Source organism: Homo sapiens, chromosome 11 (genome assembly GCF_000001405.40).
Source record: "Homo sapiens chromosome 11, GRCh38.p14 Primary Assembly".
NCBI lineage: Eukaryota > Metazoa > Chordata > Mammalia > Primates > Hominidae > Homo > Homo sapiens.
This window is the reverse complement of record NC_000011.10, coordinates 114,019,454-114,042,857: the sequence shown is the minus strand read 5'-3', so window position 1 is coordinate 114,042,857 and position 23,404 is coordinate 114,019,454. Positions and strand designations below refer to the sequence as shown.

The following is a 23,404-nucleotide window of genomic DNA, read 5'->3' as shown; positions in this document are numbered from 1 at the left end:
GCCTCCTTACATTTTGTACCATAATGCCACACACTGCCTCACCCAGTGCTGGCCCCGCCCATTGGAGTTTTTTGCAAGTTCTCTGTCCTTTTCTCTCATGTCATCTGATGCTTCTTTGTCTAGAAATAGCATTGAAATAACCAGAGAGTGAATTGATCTTGGAGGAGGATTTGGCCCACTCTGCCAACTTGTTTCTAGCCACCTCTTGGCAAGCTCCTCTCCAAATGGCCGATGGAATTATTTTCTAAAGGACAGATCTGTCACTCCCCTTCAAGGGCTCTTTTCATGACCTACATTTAAAAAAAAAAAACACCCTAAACAACTTGGCATGGCCTTTAAGACCTTTACACGTTGGCAGCATTCTCCTACCCCAGTGAACCGCTCCCCACTCCCTGACTCGGCCATGCACTATCATGCCTCCTCAGCTCTGGACAGACTGTGCCTTCTACTCGAGGCACCCTTCTCTGTCTGTCTAGACCAAAGTCATTTCTCCTTTGAAGTCTAACTCCAAGGTCACCTGTGCCCAGCACACTGCCTCACTTTCAGAAAGTCTGGAGAACATTTAGGTAGACAGATGAGAGGAAGAGAGAAGTTCCAAATTAGGAGAAGTGCAAAGATACTGAGACTTTTGCAGCACCTTAGATTACAGATTTCCTTCGGCACGTTGCCACTGAGAAGGCTAAGGAGGAGGATGGTGAATGTGGTGAGGAGAGATGAGGGATGAATATAAGTCCTTGCACATGTGTATTGGGATATGGCGGACCAGTTGACAGCCAGCGTAAGGTCCTCTTTCCTCATTAGTCCTGGGAAATCCATCCGTGTGCCATGGAATTTTAAAAGGCCGGAAGATACTACCTCTGGCTGACAGTTTGTTTGGGGTGACCCGCCCCCATCCTTCTCCTTTGGTTTCCTCTTCGCCATGATTGTCTCAGAAATTGGAAAGAATCGGCCAGACGCGGTGGCTCACGCCTGTAATCCCAGTACTTTGGGAGACCAAGGCGGGCGGATCACGAGGTCAGGAGATCGAGACCATCCTGGCTAACACGGTGAAACCCCGTCTCTACTAAAAATACAAAAAATTAGCCGGGCGTGGTCACGGGTGCCTGTAGTCCCAGCTACGCAGGAGGCTGAGGCTGGAGAATGGCGTGAACCCAGGAGACGGAGCTTGCAGCGAGCTGAGATTGTGCCACTGCACTCCAGCCTGGGCGACAGTGCAAGACTCTGTCTCAAAAAAAAAAAAAAAAAGAAAAAGAAAGAAAGAAAAGAAAAGAAAAGAAATTGGAAGGAATCAGGCCAGTCAAGGTGGCTCACACCTGTAACCCCAGCACTTTGGGAGGCTGAGATGGGCAGATCACTTGAGGTCAGGAGTTCAAGACTAGCCTGGCCAACATGGTGAAACCCCATCTCTACTAAAATTAAAAAAAAAAAAAATAGCCAGGCATGGTGGCGTGTGCCTGTAGTCCCAGCTACTCGGGAGGCTGAGGCATAAGAATCGCTTGAACCCAGGAGACAGAGGTTACAGTGAGCCGAGATCATGCCACTGCACTCTAGCCCAGGCAACAGAGCGAAACTCTGTATAAAAAAAAAGAAAAAAAAGAAATCAGATGTGAACCCAACTCATTCCTGGTGGCCAGAGGGGTATCCAGATCTAGGAGGTTAGTGCTAGGCACAGGGTTGGGATCCTACCAAGCCAGCCAGCCAGGGCCTCCCAGGGCTCCTGCCCTACATTCCCTGCGCAAAAGGGGGTTGGGGAGTTATCTTTAGTACTTAGCCTGGGCAGAGCTAACTTTATAGCCTGGCTAAGTGTGAGTCACTCTTTGAACTAACTTGTTTATATAGTATTTTCCCGTGACAACCTGGATCCTAGTTGTTGGTTGTAAAATGAAACCAGGTTTCCCGGGACCTCCCCAATCTACCCAGGGCCCATTTTTAGACTTTGCCTTTTAGCATTCAGGCTTCCTCAAGCCGCCGGGGTCAGGGATATGTAACTGGTTTGCAGGCTTAACATGCAGGCTGTACAGAGCCCAGACTCTGGCGGCTCGCCTCCTCCCCATTTTTTGTCTAAGTTGCCATCTATTTGTTTCCCCTCCTCCTCTGTGTTTCAACTTTTCTGTCTTCTTTGCATGATCTTGAGAATCAAGCCAAAGTCAGGCTGACATTTTGGCCTGGTCTCCCCAAGGAACTCAGATCTGAGATCTTTGTTCCTGGAAAGAAAGTTTATGTATGTGTTGGTTCAGAAGAGGCTTTGGGGGAGAAAGGACAGACATGAATGCTGTGATAACAATAATTATAGTCATAGATAATAATGATGTCTACATTTACAGAATGCTAACTCCATAGTAACTAGGCTGAGTGAGTGATTTCTCATGCTTTTTCACAGTTAACTTCACAACAATCCTAGAAGATGGGTTTGGCTGCTATATACCCATTTTAAAGACGGGTATTTCCTATAGTCTGAACGTTTATACACCCCCTCAAATTCATGTGTTGAAACTTAATCACCAAGGTGATGATATTAGGAAGTAGGCCCATTGGAGTGTGAGTAGGTCATGAGAGTAGAGTCCTCATGAATGGGATTAATGTTCCTATAAAAGAGGCCCCACAGAGCTGCCTTATCCCTGCCACCACGTGAGGACACAACCAGAAAGCACCATGTAGGAACCGGGAAATGGGCCTTCACCAGAATGGAATCTACCAGCCCCTGGATCTTGGTCTTCTCAACCTCCAGGTCTGTGAGAAATAAATGCTCAATGTTTATAAGTCACTCAGTTTATGACGTTCTGTTATATCCATCCCAAAGGTGGAAGACAGTGTTATACCTATTTCCAAATGAGAAAATTCAGGCTCAGAGAGTGACATTTGTAGCTAAGTTCACACAGCTAATAAATGGCGTTGGTGTCTGGATCAGTCTTAGAAGCTTTAGCTCTTACAATTTGGGTGACCCTAAGCAAGTCACTTCATCTCTCTGAGCATCAGCTATATTGCATCTGTTACCAAAAACAAACAAACAAACAAAAAAGGCAAGAGAGTCCTACTTACTTTACAAGATAGTTAGGATGATTGCATGGGATGAGGAATGAGAAGAGCTCTGTAAGTGTTGGTAATCATCCTTATGAAATCTGAAACCCCGTGAGATCTGGGATAGAACAGAGTAACATAAGAGACTGGGAATTTTTTTCACTTATAAAAATTATTTAAATGTTTTCTTGTTTTGATTTGAGGCCATCTCTTCTGTTTTGAGAGATTATCATCCCAGAACTATCTCTCCTTGTTTTTTTACAATCCAGTCTCGGATAGACCACGGGACTTGATGCTCTTTAAAAGATGGTTTTATTTGAGCCTTACGCCTATCTTGGGAGTTAAGTAGGACAAATATATCATCCCCATTCTGCAGGCAGGAAAATTGACATAATAAGTGGCTGTCAGGAGGTTGCTCAGAGCTGGATTTATTCTGGTCCTCCTTGCATTCCTTCACATTTCTATTGTAGGAACCTGGGCAGGTGACAGGGCCAGGTGGGGTGAGGGAGGTTTTGGTGGTGAGTATCGTAGGGGAAGATCCTAGGATCTCCCTTAGAGGCCACCATCAGCTTATCAGAATGTGCATATGCCCCTCATTAAAATCGTTTCTATAAAACTGCATAACATGTGAGCTGTGTTAACTACTTTGTCACAATGTTGTTTTGTTGTCATTTAAATAAATGTTTTTAAACCTTTCAGTTTCATCATTTTCTCTTTGCATTTTGGAATCAGTGCAATTTGTCAGGTGTCAGGCAGTTTCATAGACCTTTGTTGGCCCTAAGCACTTTGTTCTAGAATGCTTGGACAGAATAATAAGAGGCTTTACCTTTTATTTTGTTTTAAGGTTGAGCATTGGCCAGACAGATGTGAGTTCAAATCCCATCTCTGCCCCTTACTGCCTGTCTGTCCTGGGCAAATTGCTTAAACTTTCTGGGTCTCATCTGTAAAATGGAGCTGGTAATACATATGTGTGGTATTTTTCAAAGTCGGTATGAGGTTTTTATTTTTTTTAGATGGAGTTTTACTCCTGTTGCCCAGGCTGGAGTGCAATGGTACAATCTCCAATCTCAGCTCACTGCAACCTCCGCCTCCCGGGTTCAAGCAATTCTCCTGCCTCAGCCTCCCAAGTAGCTGGGATTACAGGCATGCGCCACCACACCTGGCTAATTTTGTGTATTTAGTAGAGATGGGGTTTCACTATGTTGGTCAGACTGGTCTCGAACTCCTGACCTCAGGTGATCCACCCTCCTTGGCCTCCCAAAGGGCTGGGATTATAGGTGTGAGCCACTGCACCCAGCCTAAAGTTGGTATAGTTTTAATGTAATGTATATAAAGGTGCCTAGTCTAATGTCTGGAACATAGTAAGTGTTCAATTATGTAGCTATTTTAATTATAGCTTTTTTTTTCTTTTGCCCTAATCTAGATGGGATCATGGAGATGGCTCGCTGCATGGCAGCCTTTTTGACAGTGTCTTTGTGAGAAAAGAGAAAGGGCTGTATCATCGTGATCTGTGGCTCTTTGGAGAAGGTTTTGATGGAGATCCAGGCGGTAGCCAGGCGGGCCCAGGTTGCTGGATAACACAGAAATTAAACTCTAGGTCCCCAGAGCCCTCTTTCCACTGGCTGCCCCTCATTTCTTCACTCCATTAAGGGCCAGGGCAAGACCCAGAACCACATCCACAAGGGCCCCAAGTTTGGTCAACAGGTCAAGTTTCAAACAGCCCCACAATTATCCCATAGTGGGGTGTGGACCCAGAATGTTTGCCCTGCATCAGCTCCTGGGATTGGTAAGGAGAACCAAGGAAAGGCGTAGCATAAATTAGGAGTTAGGAGAAAAGACAGAAGAGCCATTGAGAGAGAACCAGGCCAGGTGGAGAGGGAGAGCCGCCCTGATGACCTTGGCGCCGGAACCAGTGAGAGCGGCTCACAGCTCATCCTGCTAGGAGGACAAAAGGACTGCAGCCCCCTTAGAAGTGTCAAACCCCATCCTAGCCTGTCTCCCTGGACCAGAGCTGAAGTCAAGGCTATAAAAAGAGCCTAGCCTGGAGATGGGGGGCAGCAGAGAGAGAATGCATTCCCCCTTGATAATTTCAGAATCACCATTCTCAGTTGTTACAAATGCAAGTTCCTGAACCCCACCCTAAACCTACCCAATCACCGTCTCTTGGGAGGGTAGGTAGGGTTTAGCAAACTTCACCAAACATTTGCAAGTTAAGAATGGGGTCTTGTGGCCGGACACAGTGGCTCACACCTGTAATCCCAGCACTTTGGGAGGCCAAGGCGGGGAGATCACCTGAGGCCAGGAGTTCGAGACCAGCCTAGCCAAGATGGTGAAACCCCGTCTCTACTAAAAATACAAAAAAGATAGCCAGGTGTGGTGGCAGGCGCCTGTAATCCCAGCTACTCAGGAGGCTGAGGCAGGAGAATTGCTTGAACCCAGGAGGTGGAGGTTGCAGTGAGCCAAGATCACGCTACTGCACTCCAGCCTGGGCAACAAGAGCGAAACTCCGTCTCAAAACAAAACAAAACAAAACAAAACACCAAAAAGAATGGGGACCTGTGTGGAGCTTAACAGAGAAGGGTCTAGAAAAGTTTCTCTCTGGGTTGGTTTTACATATTAGACAAGTTAGATTGAAGACAAGATTGACAACAAACATTTTGGTTTAACAAATGTTTATTGTGCACCTACTATGTGCCCAGAACTTATTCTGCCATCCAGCAGCCTCACAATTTGGAATGAAAGGTGGACTCTATAAGAGGAATCATAATACCCTGTTATGAGCAGCACTCACTAAGAGTGCAAATGCGCAATGTGGTCATGAGGTGTCCAGGAGCCAGAACTAGGAAGGAAGAACCTGGAGCTGATCAGGGAGGCCATCTTATTTTTCATTTTTGAGTTCAGGTATCTTCAGTGGTAGATGAGTCTTCTTTCCATTTCTCTTAAATTGAAATGTAGAGAAGCCAATCCTATGTGCCCTTGGGTGTTATTCTTTTTGAAGATGATGAAGGAAGATTGAACCACTGGTCCGCTTCTATTTGCTCATCAGAAATTCGGGCTCAGGGCAGTTATGTGTGCCACATCTTAGCCAAAGTAAAGGAACTTTCTGTTTTACCCTTCTCCAGCAAAAACAGCAGTGAGTCAAAATAAACAACCCTTGGGATCCAAATGCTGGCTCCTCCTACGGAAAAGACAGAATAGTTATTTTATACTTATGGGGGCCCTGGAGTGCCGGGCTGGCTGTGAGTGCGCGTGAAGCTCGCGCCCACCCGCGCACAGGGCCAGGCAGTGACCAGGTCAGAGAATCCTGGTGCAGAGAGGCTCCCGCTGCGGAAGGGTGGGGGCGGGATTGTGAGGCTTCAATCTGGGATGCTTTTTAAAAACCTTCCAAGTGAAGTTGACTTTCTGCGGCTCACGGGCCTGATTTTGCCAGCAGGCCGCCCCTGCCCCCTTGCGGCGTCCCCTCTTAGCCCGGGGCCAAGTCAGCGCCTGACCTCCGTCCGCTGGAGGCCAGAAGGGGAGAAGGCTGACGGTCCCGCCGCAGCCAGAGCGCAGCGCCGGGCGGGACCCTGCTGGGCCACCCGCGGCCACGTCCTCCAAGCCCTGCTGACCTCTAGTGGTCACCGGGCAGAACCGAACGGGCGCTAGGCCAGAGTGGGAAGGAAGGTACCTCTCAAGGCGCGTTCTCAGCCCTGGTTTGCACATTGGGATCACCTGGGAGCTTTGAAAACTACCACTGTGCAAGCCCCACTGCAGGCTTTTGTTCAGAATTAAGTCAGAAGCGCCGACTGTGGGACCTGAGCGTGGATATCGTTGTTAAAGCTCCCTTGGAGGCTGAGCGCGGTGGCTCACGCCTGTAATCTCAGCATTTTGGGAGGCCAAGGTGGGTGGATCACTTGAGCCCAGGAGTTTGAGACCAGCCTGGCCAACATGGCAAAACCCTGTCTTGGCAAAAAATACAAAAATTAGCCGGGCATGGTGGCGCGTGCCTGTAGTCAGTCTCAGCTACTAGGAGGGCTGAGGTGGGAGGATGGGTTGAGCCTGAATGGTGGAGGCTGTGGTGAGCTATGATCGTGCCACGGCACTCCAGCCTGGGCGACAGAGCAAGACCCTGTCTCAAAGCCCCCACGCACCCCCACAAAAAAACTCCCAGGGAATTCTAACGTGCAGCCTGATAGAGAGCCATTGGGCAAAAGTGGGCATTCGTTCGCCTCTACTGTGGATGTCTGCGCTGGGTGTAATGTCAGTGTCTGCATATGGCTGTCTGTCCTTGATCCAGTCTGTCCCTGCATCCAGTGTCAGACACCAGTGTGGACTTCGTGCCTGCCTGACAGTGTGTGTGTGTGTGTGTGTGTGTGTGATGCTGATGTCTGACTGTGGTGTGGGTCCGTGTGCCTGCATGGAGTGAGTGAGCTGAGGTGGAACTCATACACTAGGTGCAGACTCAGGAGGCGAAGGGTCCTACCAATGTCTCTCTATCCTTAAGAGTTAGAGAAGATGGTTTGCAGCCGCCTTCACGTATTCGCATAGTTCACACTCTTTGCTGTTGGGAAGTTCTTCCTGTTGTCTCACTTCAGTCCCCTGTCAAGAGGAGAAACGTCTAGATTGAAAAAGTGCCAGTTTTCCCATCTTCTCTGGTAGCAGCCATAGGAACGGGAGGAAGTCCGGCCTGGAGCTGCATACCCAGGGCTGCTGGCTGGCGCGGCCGGGCTGTCTTCCTCGGTCTCATCACTCCATCAGGCCCTGATGAAACGGGTTTGAAGGGAGAAGAGCCAGCACCAGCACAATTAAATTAATTTCCAGCAGCTGCATGGGATTAAAATTACCCACTTCTCCTTTCTGGCCTCTATCTAATGTTCCTGAAAATGATCTCCTGATACTCTGCTTCTCCTCATTTCTCTTTCTTATGGTCTCAGCTTTTGGTACATCCACTCCTGATTGCGTTGCCCGTCCCAAGCTGCCCTTCCTTCCCCTACATGTGGCTGTAGATCAAAGTCCTGGTGAGACCCCTGTCCCCCGGGCCTGACTGGCCTGACCCTCTCCTTCCCAGACTGCGGGAGCTGGCCAGAGGCAACATCCAGAGGCAGAGTGACCCTCAGGAGTGGGACAGTCTGTCTTGGTGCCTCAGCCCTCACGGAGGTCCCATGGGAATGGAGACTTGCACTCCCCATGCCTGTCCTTTCAGGAGGCAGAGGAAAGGCAACACCTTATGGTGGAGTGAGCACCAGACTTAGAGTCCAGGCATATGGGCTCCAATGCCTGTGTTTCCATGAGTAACTCGACCCCTCTGAGCATGCCTTGCCTTCTGCAAAATAGAGAAGGGAATATCTATCTTACAGATTGCTGTAAAGACTAAATGAGAAAATATAGGGAAATATGTGTGTGTGTGTGTGTATATATATATATATAATGTACATAGATAGCTAGATAGATACTAGAACCTGCCCCATGGTAGATGATCATGCATAATATTAATGAGTACAGTAATAGCTAGTATTTATTCAGTGCACACTACAGGATGATGTTTTAAGCTTTGAATAGGTTGTGTTTAATCATCACAGCAGTACTTTGAGGTAGAACCTTTGATGACTCCCATTTACAAATGGGGAAAGATGAGGCAGAGAGGTATCAGGAAACATGCCCAAAGACACACAGTTCTTGGGTGATAGATCAGGAACGTGACCTCTGGGAATCTGATTACATGTACTGAAAGAAAAAAAGAATATATCACTGAACTATGCACATACTTAGGTATAGTATTTGCTTGTATCTGTGCATGTAGGAACACACACACACCACACACACACACACACACACACACACACACATCTTTGCATATTATCACTGCATAACCCCAGGCCCTGCACCCTCCCTCCTAGAAGAATCCAGGGGAAACAAACTGGTCAGCTGCAACTAGTAGGAGAAAACTAGCCAGAAAGGAAGCCAGGTGCCTACGGACAGAGGAAAGCTTCCGGAGGAACCTGCTGGGCCAACTGGGTAGGGCAATCTGTATGACTCTCACCTCAAATGATGAAGCAGGCTCATGAAAATGGGAACAGGCTTTCCTTTGACACTGTTCTCACCCAGAGTAACCTGAAGGACTCAGGTTCAGCAGGTTGGGCATGAGGGGCAGCTCTCCCTGCATTGCTATGCTAGAGTCAGCTCATCTCAAAGCCTCATCCACTGATTCCAGCAATGAGGCCTGATCCCTTCTGTGCTTTGCATGTGATTGGCACTTAATGGAATTTAATTTCAAGTTCTCCTCTGCTGCACTCAGTTCCCTTCCTCACTGGTCTGCTGAGTGGAGCTGGAGGATGGGAATGTATTCTAGGGACTGGCCTCTGCCCTCTCCCTGCTGTATAATGGTGGCCTCATCACTGCCTTCTCTGGTCATCTCTAAGGTTTCATCCAGCCTGACATTCTGAGTCTCTGATTCCATTCAGGTCCTTAGCAGCCTTGGCTGCCATGGTTTGAGGGTAGGGGTAGTGTGTGCGGGGGAAGTCATGTAGTTGTAAGCCCCAAACGACACATGGTCCAGTGGAGGAAATGATGTGGAAATGAGGGAAATGTCACCCTGGCGCTGCCCCTGCCCACATGGCTTGACCTCAGGGTCAGAATCAGGATGTGGGATGATGCAGTATGATTGTGGAATTGGGAGCAGTCCACCCTCCCAAATGCCTCAAAGGGATAAAAGGAAACATCAGAGCAAAAGTAAGAGATGGTTCAGGCTAGGCACGGTGGCTCACACCTGTAATCCCAGAACTTTGGGAGACCGAGGCAAGTGGATCACGAGGTCAGGAGTTCGAGACCAGCCTGGCCAACATGGTGAAACCCCGTCTCTACTAAAAATACAAAAATTAGCAGAGCATGGTGGCTCACACCTGTAGTCCCAGCTACTTGGGAGTCTGAGCCAGGAGAATCGCTTGAACCAGTGAGGCGGAGGTTGCAGTGAGCCAAGATCGCACCACTGCACTCCAACCTGGTGACAGAGCAAGACTCTGTCTCAAAAAAAAAGGAAAAAAGAAAAGAAAAGAAAGAGATGGCTCAGTAGAGCCTTCCCCAATCCCAGCTCTCCCCTGTGTAGCACTTGCCTTGTGCCAGCTACTGTCCTAGGCCCTTAAAGAGACCAACTCATTTAGTTGTAGGAATGACCCTATGGCAAGGTACTATTTTTATCCTCGTTTTACAGATGAAGACACTGAGCCATAAAAAGGTTACACAGATAAGTAAATGGTGAAACTAGGATTTGAAATGAGAGACTCTAGGGTTTATCATTTTAACCATTACATTTGATGGCTTTCCAAAGACAGTTGCCATCCAGGTCCAAGGAGTCATTTGAGAAAAGGTAAAGTACAAGGTACTCTCTGGAACCTGCATGGGAATACTGCCCAGGCACACCCTTCATTCAGAGGACGCTGCAGCTGGGAGATGAGGGGAGCCCCTCACAGCTGGAGGACCTGCTTACTAAAGAGCCCCCCGAGTTCCTGCTGTAGTTCTTTGCTTGTAGCCCCAAGGCAAATGCCTTGCACTTCTACATCCAGGGGATAAAGGACAGGGAGATGCTTCGTCCTCTTGAGATGGCTTTGTCGGATTGGCCCTAGGAGGTGCATCTCTCCACCCCTCCTGAAGTCTCCTCTTCCTGCTCTGACCACCCCGGCCCCACCCTCCACAGTGGGAGGACTGGCAAGGCCTGGGCAGCAGAATGCGTTGCTCAACACAGGGCAACATTGGCACATGCATCCATTTCCAGTTTCTACTGAAAACACCGGCTGAAGAAGGCAGAACAGGGAGACAAAGCCCTGAGGAGGGATTAGAACCCAGCAGGCTGCCAGGGCCAGGGGGCTGGGCTATGATGGACCCCAGGAGCAGATGAATTGGGAGAATCCCGAGCGCATCCATCACCCCATCAGCAGCAAACCCCCAGGCCTTGGGGTGGTGTGGGCTGAGATTGACCTCATGCCACAGAAATAAAGAAGTAAGAGGGGAAAGATGAAAGTGAAAACAACCCCAAAAGAGAGCGGGGAGGAAGATGAGTGACAGTCCCAGCTGATGCAAATATTGACATAACCATTATGAGGGTAAATAAAACTCCCATTTATGTTATGCAAGTGCTCTATTCTTTGAATACTTCTGTCTTGAGGAATTTTTTACTTCGCCATAGAAGAAAAATGTTTTCATATTCTCTCCCGCCGCTCAGACCCAGAACCCAGCGAGGCCTTGTGCCCCCGAGAGCCATAATATTATTTGTTAACATTTTTATGATGCCAAATGGTCTGTAGGAGAACGGGCGCCATTCTTTAGCTGGGAAACCATATGGCACGATGAGTAATAAATAAGGTATTGTGATAGTTAATGAACCTAATTGCCAGCGAAGGCTTTAACACGGAGACTGTGCTGCTGAGAATTTAGCACCGCATTAGGGATGCTGCGGAGCTCCCCTGACTTCCGAGGCTTAATTTAAGTTCTATATTGCAAACTCCAGAAAATAATTCCAAACCCTCCTGCTGGAAAAGCAACCTGCTGGTAGACTGTGATTATACCGAATTACTAAAATCGCAATCAATTTTATACACACAGTTAACCCTTGCCAGGAAGTACTCCCAGAGAGGAGAAGGATCAAGATTGTAGCCCATTCTACTTTGCTGCAGACTAAGGAGGACAAGAGTCAGGAAAGGTGTGCCCAAAGGAGGGGACCAGTTAGTTCTAAGGAGGCTTGTTAAGCAAAGAGAGGACGTACGGGAGATGCTCGTAGCAGACCTGAGCATACTTCTCCAGTCCTACAGGGTCTCCTTCATTGAAGGACAAGAAGACAGAAGGTCTTGGAGAGCGGGGTCTATGCTCACCCACCACTCCCAGCAGCAGGAATCCCTGGCAGGAAAAGAAACTGAGCCATTGCTGCTATTATTCCATAAGTCAAGGTTATTAACTAGAGAGGATCGAATCCTGGCAGTCAAATAACCTTGCACTGTGTAAAATGTAAATGCCGAACAGCTGCTGCTGAACTTTCAGTGGTGCCTGGAAGGTTCCCTGGGTGAGAAGAGCACACCACAATGCCAGGGGGAAAGGCATTTCTTCCCAGCTCATTTTCGGAGCTTGTAACTGGCCCTCCAGCCTTGGATAAGATAGAGGAGAATGGTTGGCTGTAGAAAGGGAACTTCCTGGGAACAGGTCAAGCCAGGTGTGACAAGAGAGAATGCTTCAAGACCCTGGATCTCCCTAGAAGATGCCCGTGCCAGGGCACCTCTCATCCATCAGGCCACCTCCCATGGCAATGCCCCAGGCTGTGGTTTGGAGAGCTCAGAAATTTCCTTTCCAGAAGAGTACTCCGAAAGAGATGGGAAACCCCACTTGGCACTCCCTGTGCTAAACTTTCCCGCATTCAGAGAGAGGCCAAGGGGGCAGGCTGAGACGTGGGAGAGGAGATTGGAAATAAGGAATATCTGCATAAGTCAAGAAGACAATGGGAGAAGCTTGGGTCAGAGAAGCCAAGAAGGCCAAAAATGTACAGAGGAGAGTTAGGAAGGTCTTGAGACCAGGTAAGACCCAGAGGCAGGTGTAGAAGAGGGGTCTGGCCCAAAATGTGAAACCCTGCAAGGGATGACCATGAGTGGCCATGTCCCTCCTTCCTCAAGAGCTAGGACAAAGACCCTTTTCCTACTGTGGTCTAAGGCACATTCAGCCTCATCTGGAAGGCAGGGATCTTGGGTAGGCTATGGAAACTCAACAGTAGGGTTTATAGGAGAGAGGCCTCAGGAGCTTTGGCATTGAGAAGTTCTCTACATAAGGCAGAGGCTGAGGCTTGGGAGTAGGATGAAGGATGGGGCATTGCTATAGATGTTAAGCTTCTAGAAGGCAGGGAACCTACCTGATCTTAGCAGCTAGCCTGTATGCACTTGGGAACCTGAGTGAGATGGACATCAGAAAAGTATACTCCACAGGTGACCAGGAGAGGAAGCACTGCATCAACCCAACTTGCCAGGCAGCTGGTGTGGGTGACGGCTTCTCCAGGCAGTGCTGCCAGGATACAGGATCACCATGGTCCTTTTCAGCCCCATTCTGGGTTTTCGACTTTCTCTGCTGCCCTTGGTTTGTCCCAAGGCTGTGGTACTCAGCTGCTGCTGTGGTCCTGAAGTGGAGTCTAGTGGTCCTGAAGTGGAGTCTATTATCTGCCTTGTTTATAATTCCTACCACCAAACCCAGTGATAGAAGCTGAGACCCCAAAGGTATTCCCAATTCCTACCTACAGAGGTAGAGGGTGAGGGAGAAGGGCCATAGGATCCCCACATGGCCCTTGAACTCTGCTGGAGCTTCAGAATCAACTGGGGGCAGTCTTGAAAAACACAGACGCAGGGACCCAATCCCCAGAGGCTCCAATCCAACGGATCCAAGATGTGCCCCTGGCCTGTGCAGGTGTTGAAAGCTCCACAGGTGTTCCTGATGCAAAGCTGGATGGAGAACTATTTCCCCTGGAAGGTCCACACCCAGCCCTCACTCTAAACTTCCCCTTCTCAGCTCCAGATGGTGGAAGGAGAAATACCTACACTCTCCCTGGTAAGCAATTGAGGAACACAGAGATTCTGCCTGAACTACAAGCAAGACATAGAGGCAAAAGGATGACATTCTTAACTCCAGGGTGGTTAAACCCTAGGTAAGAACACAGGTAAAGTTGTTAAGTAAAGTTGTTGAGATCCCCCCTCTGGCAGCCTTTCCAGGTTACACAGATACCCATCTGGGAGCAGAAGGTTGAGCCAAAAGACCTTTAGATCTTTAGCTTTTGTAAGATTATAAGTATTTCCATATTTTATGGATGAGGAAAATAAAGGCCAGAAAGGTTCTGTGACTCTGTGAAGGAATTGACTAGAACCCAGGTGTCTTGACTCTAAGTACGTTTTCTTTCTAGATTATTTTTTGCATCTTTTTTATTCCAGTTATATAATCTGGGCATTGAGAGAATAAAAAAAAGAGCAAAAGAAATTCCAGGATTCATAGTCATACACTGGATGTAAGGAGGACAGTGGGACCCCTGAAGAGGCTTCCAGTTCTGAGATTGTAAGATGCTACAGGGGCTTGTCATCTGGTTGAAGAGACTTTTAAATATTTGACAAAGCCGTGTATTAAATATGCAAGTTAATATGAGCATCAAGGACATGGAATGAAGGACCTAATCCGCCAGTGCTTCCTAGAAAGGGACTCAAGGCAATACCTATTTACTGCTCATCGTAAGTTGATCACCCAACTCTGTGCTTAAGGCTTTGGGGAAATCAAGAGAGGTGGATGATCTTGTGCCTGTCCACAGGGAGCTTTCTGTCTAGTTAGAGAAGCAATGTGCACATGAAAGGGCTGGAGGACACTAAAGCAAGCAAGTCACCAGGACCCAGACACAGATGCTGTGGTCTACTAGTGAGCTCTCACTTTCTCTAGATTCTGAGAAGAGTGGGGAGTTGGACCAAGTTGGACCAAGACTCCCATGGCAAAGGAGGCTCCCTGGGGATTCTGGGCAAAGATCCCAGAGGCAGTGGGGGAATGGCTGCTTTCTCCAAGTCAAGGTGTGTTGAGGGGAAGTTAAAGCTAAACATAGGCTCCTGAGATGGTCTCTCCATACCACTGGGGCCTGTGGCCAAGCCAGTGGCCTCAAAAACCCCAGCTTTCCCTCTCCCAACTGGAAATAGTGGGACCTCGTCAACCCCACCACGGACAGAGCTCTGTCTCATCAGGCAAGTGCTGTGATGAAGAGCCACCTAGTGTGCATTTAATACTGTATATAAATACACTTTACAATCACGAAGAAGACTTTCTACTCAGAGGAGACCACTGGAATATTTTATAGTGATGCAGATCAAGTGAAAAGAAGGAGAATAAATAAAAGGGAAGATAATTATCCGATGGAGTTCTTTCAGTATATGCCACAGCAGGGCATACTTACAAAGAATACATATTACTAGAGAGACACAGCTTTTCAAGCATCAAACTAACCTATAAATTGTCAGACTCGAGAATGAGAGGAAAGGAATGGGAGAGATTTGGGTGCCCATCACGCCATTAGCACTGGGTTCCGTGCTCCACCTTGCTTGCAACAGCTCTACACGCCAGCCACAGCACAGTCCCGCAGAAGGGAGACGCCACCTAATAAATGTCTCTGGAAAATTACGACTGTACTGCTACAGTAAAAAGATGGCGCCGTTTATCTCAGCACCATCTGCACAGGCTCATTTGTTGCTCCTGAGGCAGCCCACACGCACCCAGCAAGTTTGCAACTCTCCAACACTTGGAGTGTTTTCTTCACCAGGATGCTGTGGGACTTGGAATGCAAATTTCTCTCCCGGCTCTGCGAGGTCAGCAGGAGAGATGATGCAAGAGGCCTGCAGCTGGACCTCCTGGCTGGTACAAGTCACCTGCTCCAGCATCCGATCTCAAGGTAGGGACCAGGAGCCTGGAATCCTTCTCATGCCAGTGAAAGCAAACATGAAACATCGTTCGTTGTTCATCCATTCATTCAGCTATTTAACAAACAACATGGAGTAGATGCTACATGCCAGGCACTGCAATGGAAATTAGGAGTACCTGCATAGCTGGCTCATACTTCCTGCAGGTTCTTATTCAAATGTCATCTTCTCAAGGAGGTCTTCTCTGGACCTCCTTCTCTAGAATTGAAACACCTCCTTTTTATAGCAGATTTGGTCCTGCTCTGTCAATATCCCCTCAGATCCCTTTGCCATTTTCATGTGCACGGACTCCCGGCGTGTGCTCATTCCCAGTAGCCAGCACCTGTGTCCCTTTGTAGATTGACTGTCTTCAAAGCTGCTGGAATCTACTTTGCTGTAGGTGCCCGGGAATCTATACAAACTGACTCCTACCCACCCTGGAGGTAGCCTTTAAATATTCATTGAATTCATGTGTACAAATCTATCAATACTTGCCCCCAGTGGCTACTACATTGTGAGGTGTTGGGTGTTGTTGAAACATAAAAGACTGAGGAGGGGGTAGGCAGTTATGAAACTAGGAATATGCAACCTCTGCATTGCACAGGAACTGTGAGCTTTTAAAGCATATGCAGTGAGCTCATTTCAATGACAGGGCTAGAGGCGGCATTGCTGAAAGCTGGCAGCTGAAAGGGACAAGGTGTTGGTGTGGCTGGATGAGGCCACACTTTCTGCTGTGACCCCAGACTATTTTCCTATCCACCTGGAAGACACAGGCTGCTTTAGCATCACTTGTAGTCTCTGCACAGCAGCAACCAGACCGCAAAGACCACATGACCACAGTGGCCTACAGGATTCCTTCCTTCTCTTTGGTAGGCTCCCCCTGCAGGTACTGAAATAAAATCCCCTCTCTGCTCCCTCTAGGCTTTCCTCTGGTTTCCTCCATACCCAGCCCACTTTTCTATATGCAAACCCACCTTCTTGCCTTCAGGAGAAAGAAGCACTGTTCTTGCAGAACAGAATCCACTCCCTGTTGGGCTTTGCTTTGGGACTCATTTGAGCTAGTTATGCCACTGGTGGAGAGAGTGGACGCTGGGGAAATAGGGACCTGATTATGATGAAGCTTGGTTGGGCACTTTTCAGTAGGCAACACAGAGCCAGTGATGGTGTTAATTGTGGAAGAGACCTAATTGGAACTGCAGGAGGGTAGAGAATGAACTAGCTGAGCCCATACAAGAGGTGGGAAGTCCAATGAGGGGCTCTTGGACGTATCTGGGTGACTGTAAGTATAGGCAGTAATGCTATGATCCAGGAGCCTTAGAAGTGGGACTAGAAAGAAGGGAAGAGCTGACGGCTATTCAGGAAGTTTAATCAACAGAAATTTGTTGACTGATTAGATGTTCACGTGGGAGGAGAGCAGATTTTTGTGGGAAGGAGAGATGAAGGACAGAGACAGAAACTGAGAAAGGGAGATAGGCAGAGAGAAAGGGCAAAGAGAGACTAAAAGGATGATAGAAAGACAGATGGAATGACAACACCAAGAGAGAGATGGAAAAGGAGAGTTGACAAGACTCTTAGGGAGACTTTTAACTTATTTGGAACTAATTTTAGACTTACAGAAACATTGAAAAAATAGTACAGAGAATTCCCACATACTGTTCACCCAGCTTGCCCTGAAGTTGGCATCTTACATAACCATAACACAGTTATCAAAACCAGGACATTAACATTGGCACAATGCCATTACTCAAGCACAGACTTTATTCAGATCTCACCAGTTTTGTAGTGAGATGTGGAGAGTGAGAAACATAAATACAGAGAGCCAGACAGGGAGAACGAAGTTAGACACAAGTTCCCAAGTCCCTCCTCCTGGGAGAAAGTTTACAGAGTTGACACATCAGAGCCTGAGGGAACAGGCTAGCTGTTTAGCACGTGCCATATATTAGGTGCCTCATACATGGCTATTTAATAAATAAATGGAGTCAAGCGCTCTAGGCACAGAAGCAAAGGCATTGCAATGAGTGTCCACATACAACCAACCCACAGTTCTTTGTCTTTTCTAAGCTTCCATAGAATCCAGGATCTGGGGCTTACAGCAACAGACATTTCCAAAAGGCCTAATGCCAAGAGCATCTTCTGTTCAGTTCATCAGCTGAGCTTCGTTCTCCAGAGAGAGGTTCCTTTATTAAAGCCCTTTACTGAGCCTTTCCCCTTAAATGCCTTTCTTACAGCACAGTCATGGCCGCCAGGATCTCCACTGCCTCCCTTTGAATTTTATAATTTTTAAGAGCCTAGGGGGAAGTTGATCACTGTTCTACAGGAAGGGAAGGAAGACTTTTAACCCATCAGTGGGATCCTGAGCAATCTTGTCCCCTTAATTTAGGAACCAGGCAGCCTAGGGAGGGGTGAACTGTCAATCACCAGAAAGTTCATTGATTTGTCCCCTCCTGGGTCCATCCAGCATAGAGAGGAGCCATCCTCAGCAGACAGCAAGTGTGGAAATGGCAGTCTAACCAAGGCCCACCATGCCCTCTTCCCAGGCCAACTCCAAAAGCCTGTAAGACAGTCCATGGCCAAGCCAGCCTGCTTCCATAACAATGACACACTCAGAGTCTTCTTTAACAAGTCCCAGTTCTGCAGGTCTTTGTGGCATTAAGAGAAACACATCTGCCATTTTGTCCCCTCTTGACTTCCTTATTTTTACCCCTAGTTATTCAGCAGCCCCTGGGGTTTCTTGATGACCAACAGCAGCCCTTAAGTGGTAGTGTCAGAGGAAAGGTAATGCAAAACTTTCCCCAGCAGCAGATAGCAGGGCAAACCTGTGACGTGTCCCCAGCACCAAAGGACCCATGATTCTGGGTCAATCGAGATTGCCCTTGATGGAGCTCCTAGACCATATCAGAACAGATGCGTGTGTGTGTGTGTGTGTGTGTGTGTGTGTGTGTGTGTAGAATGGGGGAAGGGAAGGGACTGAGGACACCCCTTAGTTGAGGGATATCTAGATAAACTTGGATAAAGTTACATCTCACATACCTCCAGGCACCAGGAGTGGGCCCTGCAGGATACTTGCTTGTCCCAGCCCTTGAAGACCTTCCCCTGGCTCTCCCATACATTCAGAGATAACGCTGATCTTTCTCCCAACTGGTGGAGAGATGCACGGGAGCAACAGACAGAAAGAATCAAGGACCCAAAACCATTTTTTCAGGTTTTTCGTGTTACCTTATTTGACTCAACTCCCTAAATAATGGAGGAAATCACTCATTAGTCCACTTTTATCTTTTTCCCTAATAAGAAGGATAAGAAATAGCTAGCTTATACTGAAGCAGAAGGAACTCAGTTCAGCTATAGTGCCCAGCACAATGCCTGGCACATAGTAGGTGCTCAAAAATATATGCTAACTGAGGCCGGATGCAGTGGCTCACGCGTGTAATCCCAGCACTTTGGGAGGCCGAGGTGGGAGGATCACTTGAGGTCAGGAGTTCGAGACCAGCCCTGGCCAACATGGTGAAACCCTGTCTCTACTAAAAATACAAAAATTAGCCAGGCGTGGTGGCAGGCACCCGTAATCCCAGCTCCTCGGGAGGCTGAGGCAGGAGAACCGCTTGAATCCAGGAGGTAGAGGTTGCAGTGAGCCGAGATTGCGCCACTGCACTCCAGCCAGGTGACAGAGTGAGACTCCACCTCAAAAATAAAAAATAAATAAATAAATAAATAAATAAATAAAAGTAAAATATATGTTAACTGAACAAATGAACAAGTGGTGAATATAGGAGAATCCTTAGTAGCTTATTGTGGAAAGACCTTTGAAATCAGAACCAAGCTGATATTCTGGACCTGCTCCTTCTCGTGTGCCCACGGGTAAGTTGCTCGCCCTCCATCAGCCTCAGTTTTTCTCACTTGTAAACACAAAGATGAATAGCTTGCTCCTTCCTTGCTATGATGAGGATTGAACAGATAATAGGTGTGCTAAGCAGCATGCATAGCACAGTGCCTGGCATGAGGTAGATAATAAATAGTAGCTACTTTAATGGTTTTTTATGTAGTTAGAAGCACTCAAACTGAGAAGGTTCTGAAGAACATTAGCGAAGAGAGCAGACTTAGGGGTTGTTCGAGAGCAGTCCTGCCCCGAGGCAGAAGGATGGACGCTTGAGGTGAAGATCTGAGGCCCAAGCCTGCCTTGGGGTTCTAGGTTTCTGGGTTCCCATTGCCCGTGGGATGTAGTTGTCCCCTAATGACTGGGGAGAGCCAGGTGCTGAAGCATAAAATTAGCAGCCATGTCACCTGTCTTGTCCGTGTCTTCCAGGAGATTTGGGGGTCTGCAGCCCACCCATGTGCATGTGGCTACCCACCTCTCTCCTCCTCTCTTTCTCACAAAAGTCTAAAGATCCCCCAGGGCCACGCCCATGCCCCACAGTCATTCAGTTACCAGTGCATCTCCAGGTGAGAGACATGGGTTGTCTTTGGTGCCAGAACACACTTTTCCTCCCGGGCTACCAGCCTGTAATACTTTAGAGCAAGCTTGCCCGATCCACAGCCTATGGGCCGCATGTGGCCCAGGACAGCTTTGAACGCAGCCTGACACAAATTCGTAAACTTTCTTAAAACATTATGAGATTTTGGGAGGATTTTTTTTTGTTTTTAGCTTGTCAGCTATCATTAGCGTTAGTGTATTTTAGGTGTGGCCCAAGATAATTCTTCTTCTTCCAGTGTAATCAGGGAAGCCAAATATTGGACCCCTCTGCTTTAGAGGGAAGTGAGTGTGTTTTATTATTGCTGGCACTCTGCACACAGTAGGTGCCTAATCAACACTTGTTGATGGCACAGATGAGGAACAAGGGTGTTTCAACAAAAGGGCAGGCAAGATGAGGAGGCTGTGGCAGGCTGAGTTAGATACTGTGCTGTCTGGAAGCAGCAACATGGACAAGAAGCCTTTCTACCTGGTTACAAGTCCACAGCCACAGGGATTTCCACAAGTAGATGACCATTGGCACCAAAGTCAACTAAATAATTGTCTATGGCCATTTTAGGTTTACCAGTCACAACTTCGTCTTCTCACTCTCGCCTTCTGTCTTCTATTTTTTTTTTTTTTTAGACAGAGTCTCTGTCGCCCAGGCTGGAGTGTACTGCAACCCCCACTAAACTTCCCAGGTTCAAGCAATTCCCCTGCCTCAGCCTCATGAGTAGCTGGGATTCCAGGCGCACACCGCCATGCCCAGCTAAGTTTTGTATGTTTAGTAGAGACAGAGTTTTGCCATGTTGGCCAGGCTGGTCTCGAACTCCTGACCTCAAGCAATCCACCTGCCTTGGCCTCCCAAAGTGCTGGGATTACAGGCATGAGCCACTGCACCTGGCCACCTTCTCCTGTCTTCTTCTGATCTCTTACCTGGTTTTGTTTTGATTTCTTTCTTTTTCCTTCCTACCTGTGGCTTAGTAAGACCTTTGGAGGCACCTGCTTACTCAGTGTCTCTGGTCCTTGCTGAGATGGAGTCTGGCTTTAGAATCCCTCAAAGCCTGAGCCACATGAGAGGTCTCCCTCCTCCACAGAAAGAGAGTAAGGGCTGAGGTGCCGGGTGCACCCTGGATCCTCAACCCTCCACTACAGCCAACACTGCAGAGCCCCTTGTGTGACAAGATGTGGTGCCAAGAACTTCATGCTGTCTCCCTATTTAACGCAACAACCCTGCAAACAGACTTTTTCTTCCCATTTACCAGATGAATGAAAGTAAGTCTCAGACAAGGAAAATGACCGCAGGGTGCTCTGCAACTTGAGTGTGCACTAGATTCGCCCTAAGGGCTGGTTAAAACACAGTGTGCAGGGCTCCAGTTTGAGTTTCTGACTCAGTAGGTCAGGGGTGGATAACCGGCATTTCAGCAAGTTCCCAAGTGATGCAGATGCTGCTGCTCAGGGACCAGACATTGAAGCCACTGACTTCAGTGGTCATGGCTGGTAAGTGAAAGGCCCAGGATGGAAATTGGAGGCTTCTGGCCCCCAGTCTAGTGTTCCTTCCCCTCCACCACAGCTGGCTTCCCTCTGCAGAGTGCCTGGGTAGGATCTCTGTCAATGCTCTGAAATCTGTCCACCTGGAAGTCTGGAGGTCCTACAGATGGTCTGGGGTCCCCTGTAAATCTACAGGGCCCCTGGGACATGGGGTAAAGCAAGCACCGAGTATGCTGGGTTCCAGAACCAGGGGAGAAGATCTGAGGACAGAGGCCCCAGTCACAAGCCTGGCTCGCTGGGCCCTAGAGCTTCTTTAACAGGGTGTTTTATGGGGGAGTTTTCAGTGCCAGCATCAGGGCAGGCTGAGGAGCTGAGCCTTGCCAGAGTAAACAGCAGCCTGTTCAACCCATGGGGGCTCCCACCTCAGGGCAGTTTTAAATTGCTACTGTATTTAATTGTTAGCCAAGCTACTCCATTGGTTGTGGGAATGGGGAAGGTGGAGGCAGGCAAGCTCCAGGAATGAGCTGCACGATGTTGTATTTCTCTCCATTTTTGGCTCACTGCGGACTCTGTACAGAGCAGCCCCTTGGGGCTCAGCACTGGAGTTTATGTCAAACCCTGTGCTTGATGGGTTCGAGGTTCGTGCCTCCCGGTTAGTGGGACCCAGGAGGCTGGGAAACCCAGATGCTCCCCGCACACATCTCTCTATCCCTGCAGGTGGGGACTGACTTTGACCTTTGTGGGTCCTGAAAGAGAGGAGCTATCATGCCACACCGTAAAGCTTCTTGGCAGCCACCCGCCGTCACCTGGCTCTTTAGGGCCTCCTACTAGCAGAGCCTCTCCAAAACAGCTGCCCAGAGGCAGGAGGATGGCCTCGGAGGCCCTGCCAGCCCGAAACCCCAAGGACCTTGCGTCTCCTTGAACCTTGTTGTTCAAAGGTGAAAGCAAGTATCTTCTTTCCCTGAGATCTGGGTGTAGTCCAGACATCTGTCTGTCTTTGACTTTCTTTCCCTGCTATAAGTTTTCAATAGGAAACCAAGACCACTGCCTCAGAGTGATTTAATTCAACCCAATGGGGAAAACGTGGAACTAAGGAAACTCTATCCCTAGAGAGAATGATAGCAATAATCATTATTGCTAATAATAATTTTTTTTTGAGATGGAGTCTCACTCTGTCACCTAGGCTGGAGTGCAGTGGTGCGACCTGGGTTCACTGCAACCTCCGCCTCCCAGGTTCAAGCTGTTCTCATGCCTCAGTTTCCTGGGTAGCTGGGATTACAGGCACTCACCACCACACTCAGCTAATTTTGTATTTTTAGTAGAGATGGGGTTTCACCATGTTGGGCGGGCTGGTCTCGAACTCCTGACCTCAAGTGATCCTCCCGCCTTGGCCTCCCAAAGTGCTGGGATTACAGGTGTGAGCCACCATGCCCAGCCAATAATAATTATTAATTAATTATTATTATTATTGCTCTCATTCATTCAGGACATCTAAGTGCTAGGCACTGTTCACATATTTCTTCATTTAATCATCTCAATAAATAATAAACAGACTGGGTACAGTTATTATCTCCATTTTATAGATGGGAAAACTGAAACACTTAGGGGCTGAGTAACTTGGCCTTGGCCACACAGTGGGAGGTGAGTGAGCAAGATGTGAACCTGGCTGGTTTGGCTGCAGGGTGTGCGCCCCTAACCTCTCCTCTCTGTTGCAGCTCAGCGCCCCCCTGCCTGCTACTGCAGCTGCCAGGGCTGGCTTAGGAATTCCCAGCCCCATGCCCTCCAATTATGCGGCCTCCAATATGTATCCTCCAGTTACACGGTTACCAGGGTTCACATAGCATCTAGAGATATATTGCTTTGCAGGAAACGAAATGGCAGGAAGATGACAGTGAGGACAGAGAGCTCTTGGAAAGAATCAGAGGACAGGGCTGTGACCCTCGAGACTGGAATGTAGCAGAAAACACCAGGACTTGGAATCAGAAGACAGAGTTCCTCAGCCAACTACCTGACTGGGGGGGTAGGGGGGTAG

The 23,404-nt window shown here is 48.3% G+C and overlaps 1 long non-coding RNA gene across 1 annotated transcript, besides 2 other annotated features; it reads right to left on the bottom strand.

Moving 5' to 3' along the window:
- Positions 1-5,673: 5,673 nt before the first annotated feature.
- LOC124902761 (uncharacterized) lies at positions 5,674-7,588 on the bottom strand. Its single transcript, XR_007062896.1, has 2 exons — positions 7,481-7,588; positions 5,674-6,196 (listed from the first exon to the last, which is right to left on the bottom strand). It is a non-coding gene; the product is annotated as an uncharacterized LOC124902761 (long non-coding RNA).
- Positions 5,795-6,735: an enhancer, noted in NCBI's record as "H3K4me1 hESC enhancer chr11:113906845-113907785 (GRCh37/hg19 assembly coordinates)". NCBI's record gives its function as "activates a minimal SCP1, AML or CMV promoter by ChIP-STARR-seq in naive H9 embryonic stem cells {active_cell/tissue: H9 hESC(naive)}" and the evidence as "EXISTENCE:reporter gene assay evidence [ECO:0000049][PMID:30033119]".
- Positions 6,533-6,582: a silencer, noted in NCBI's record as "silent region_3914". NCBI's record gives its function as "represses an Ori minimal core promoter by ATAC-STARR-seq in GM12878 lymphoblastoid cells {active_cell/tissue: GM12878}" and the evidence as "EXISTENCE:reporter gene assay evidence [ECO:0000049][PMID:35858748]".
- Positions 7,589-23,404: the final 15,816 nt, after the last annotated feature.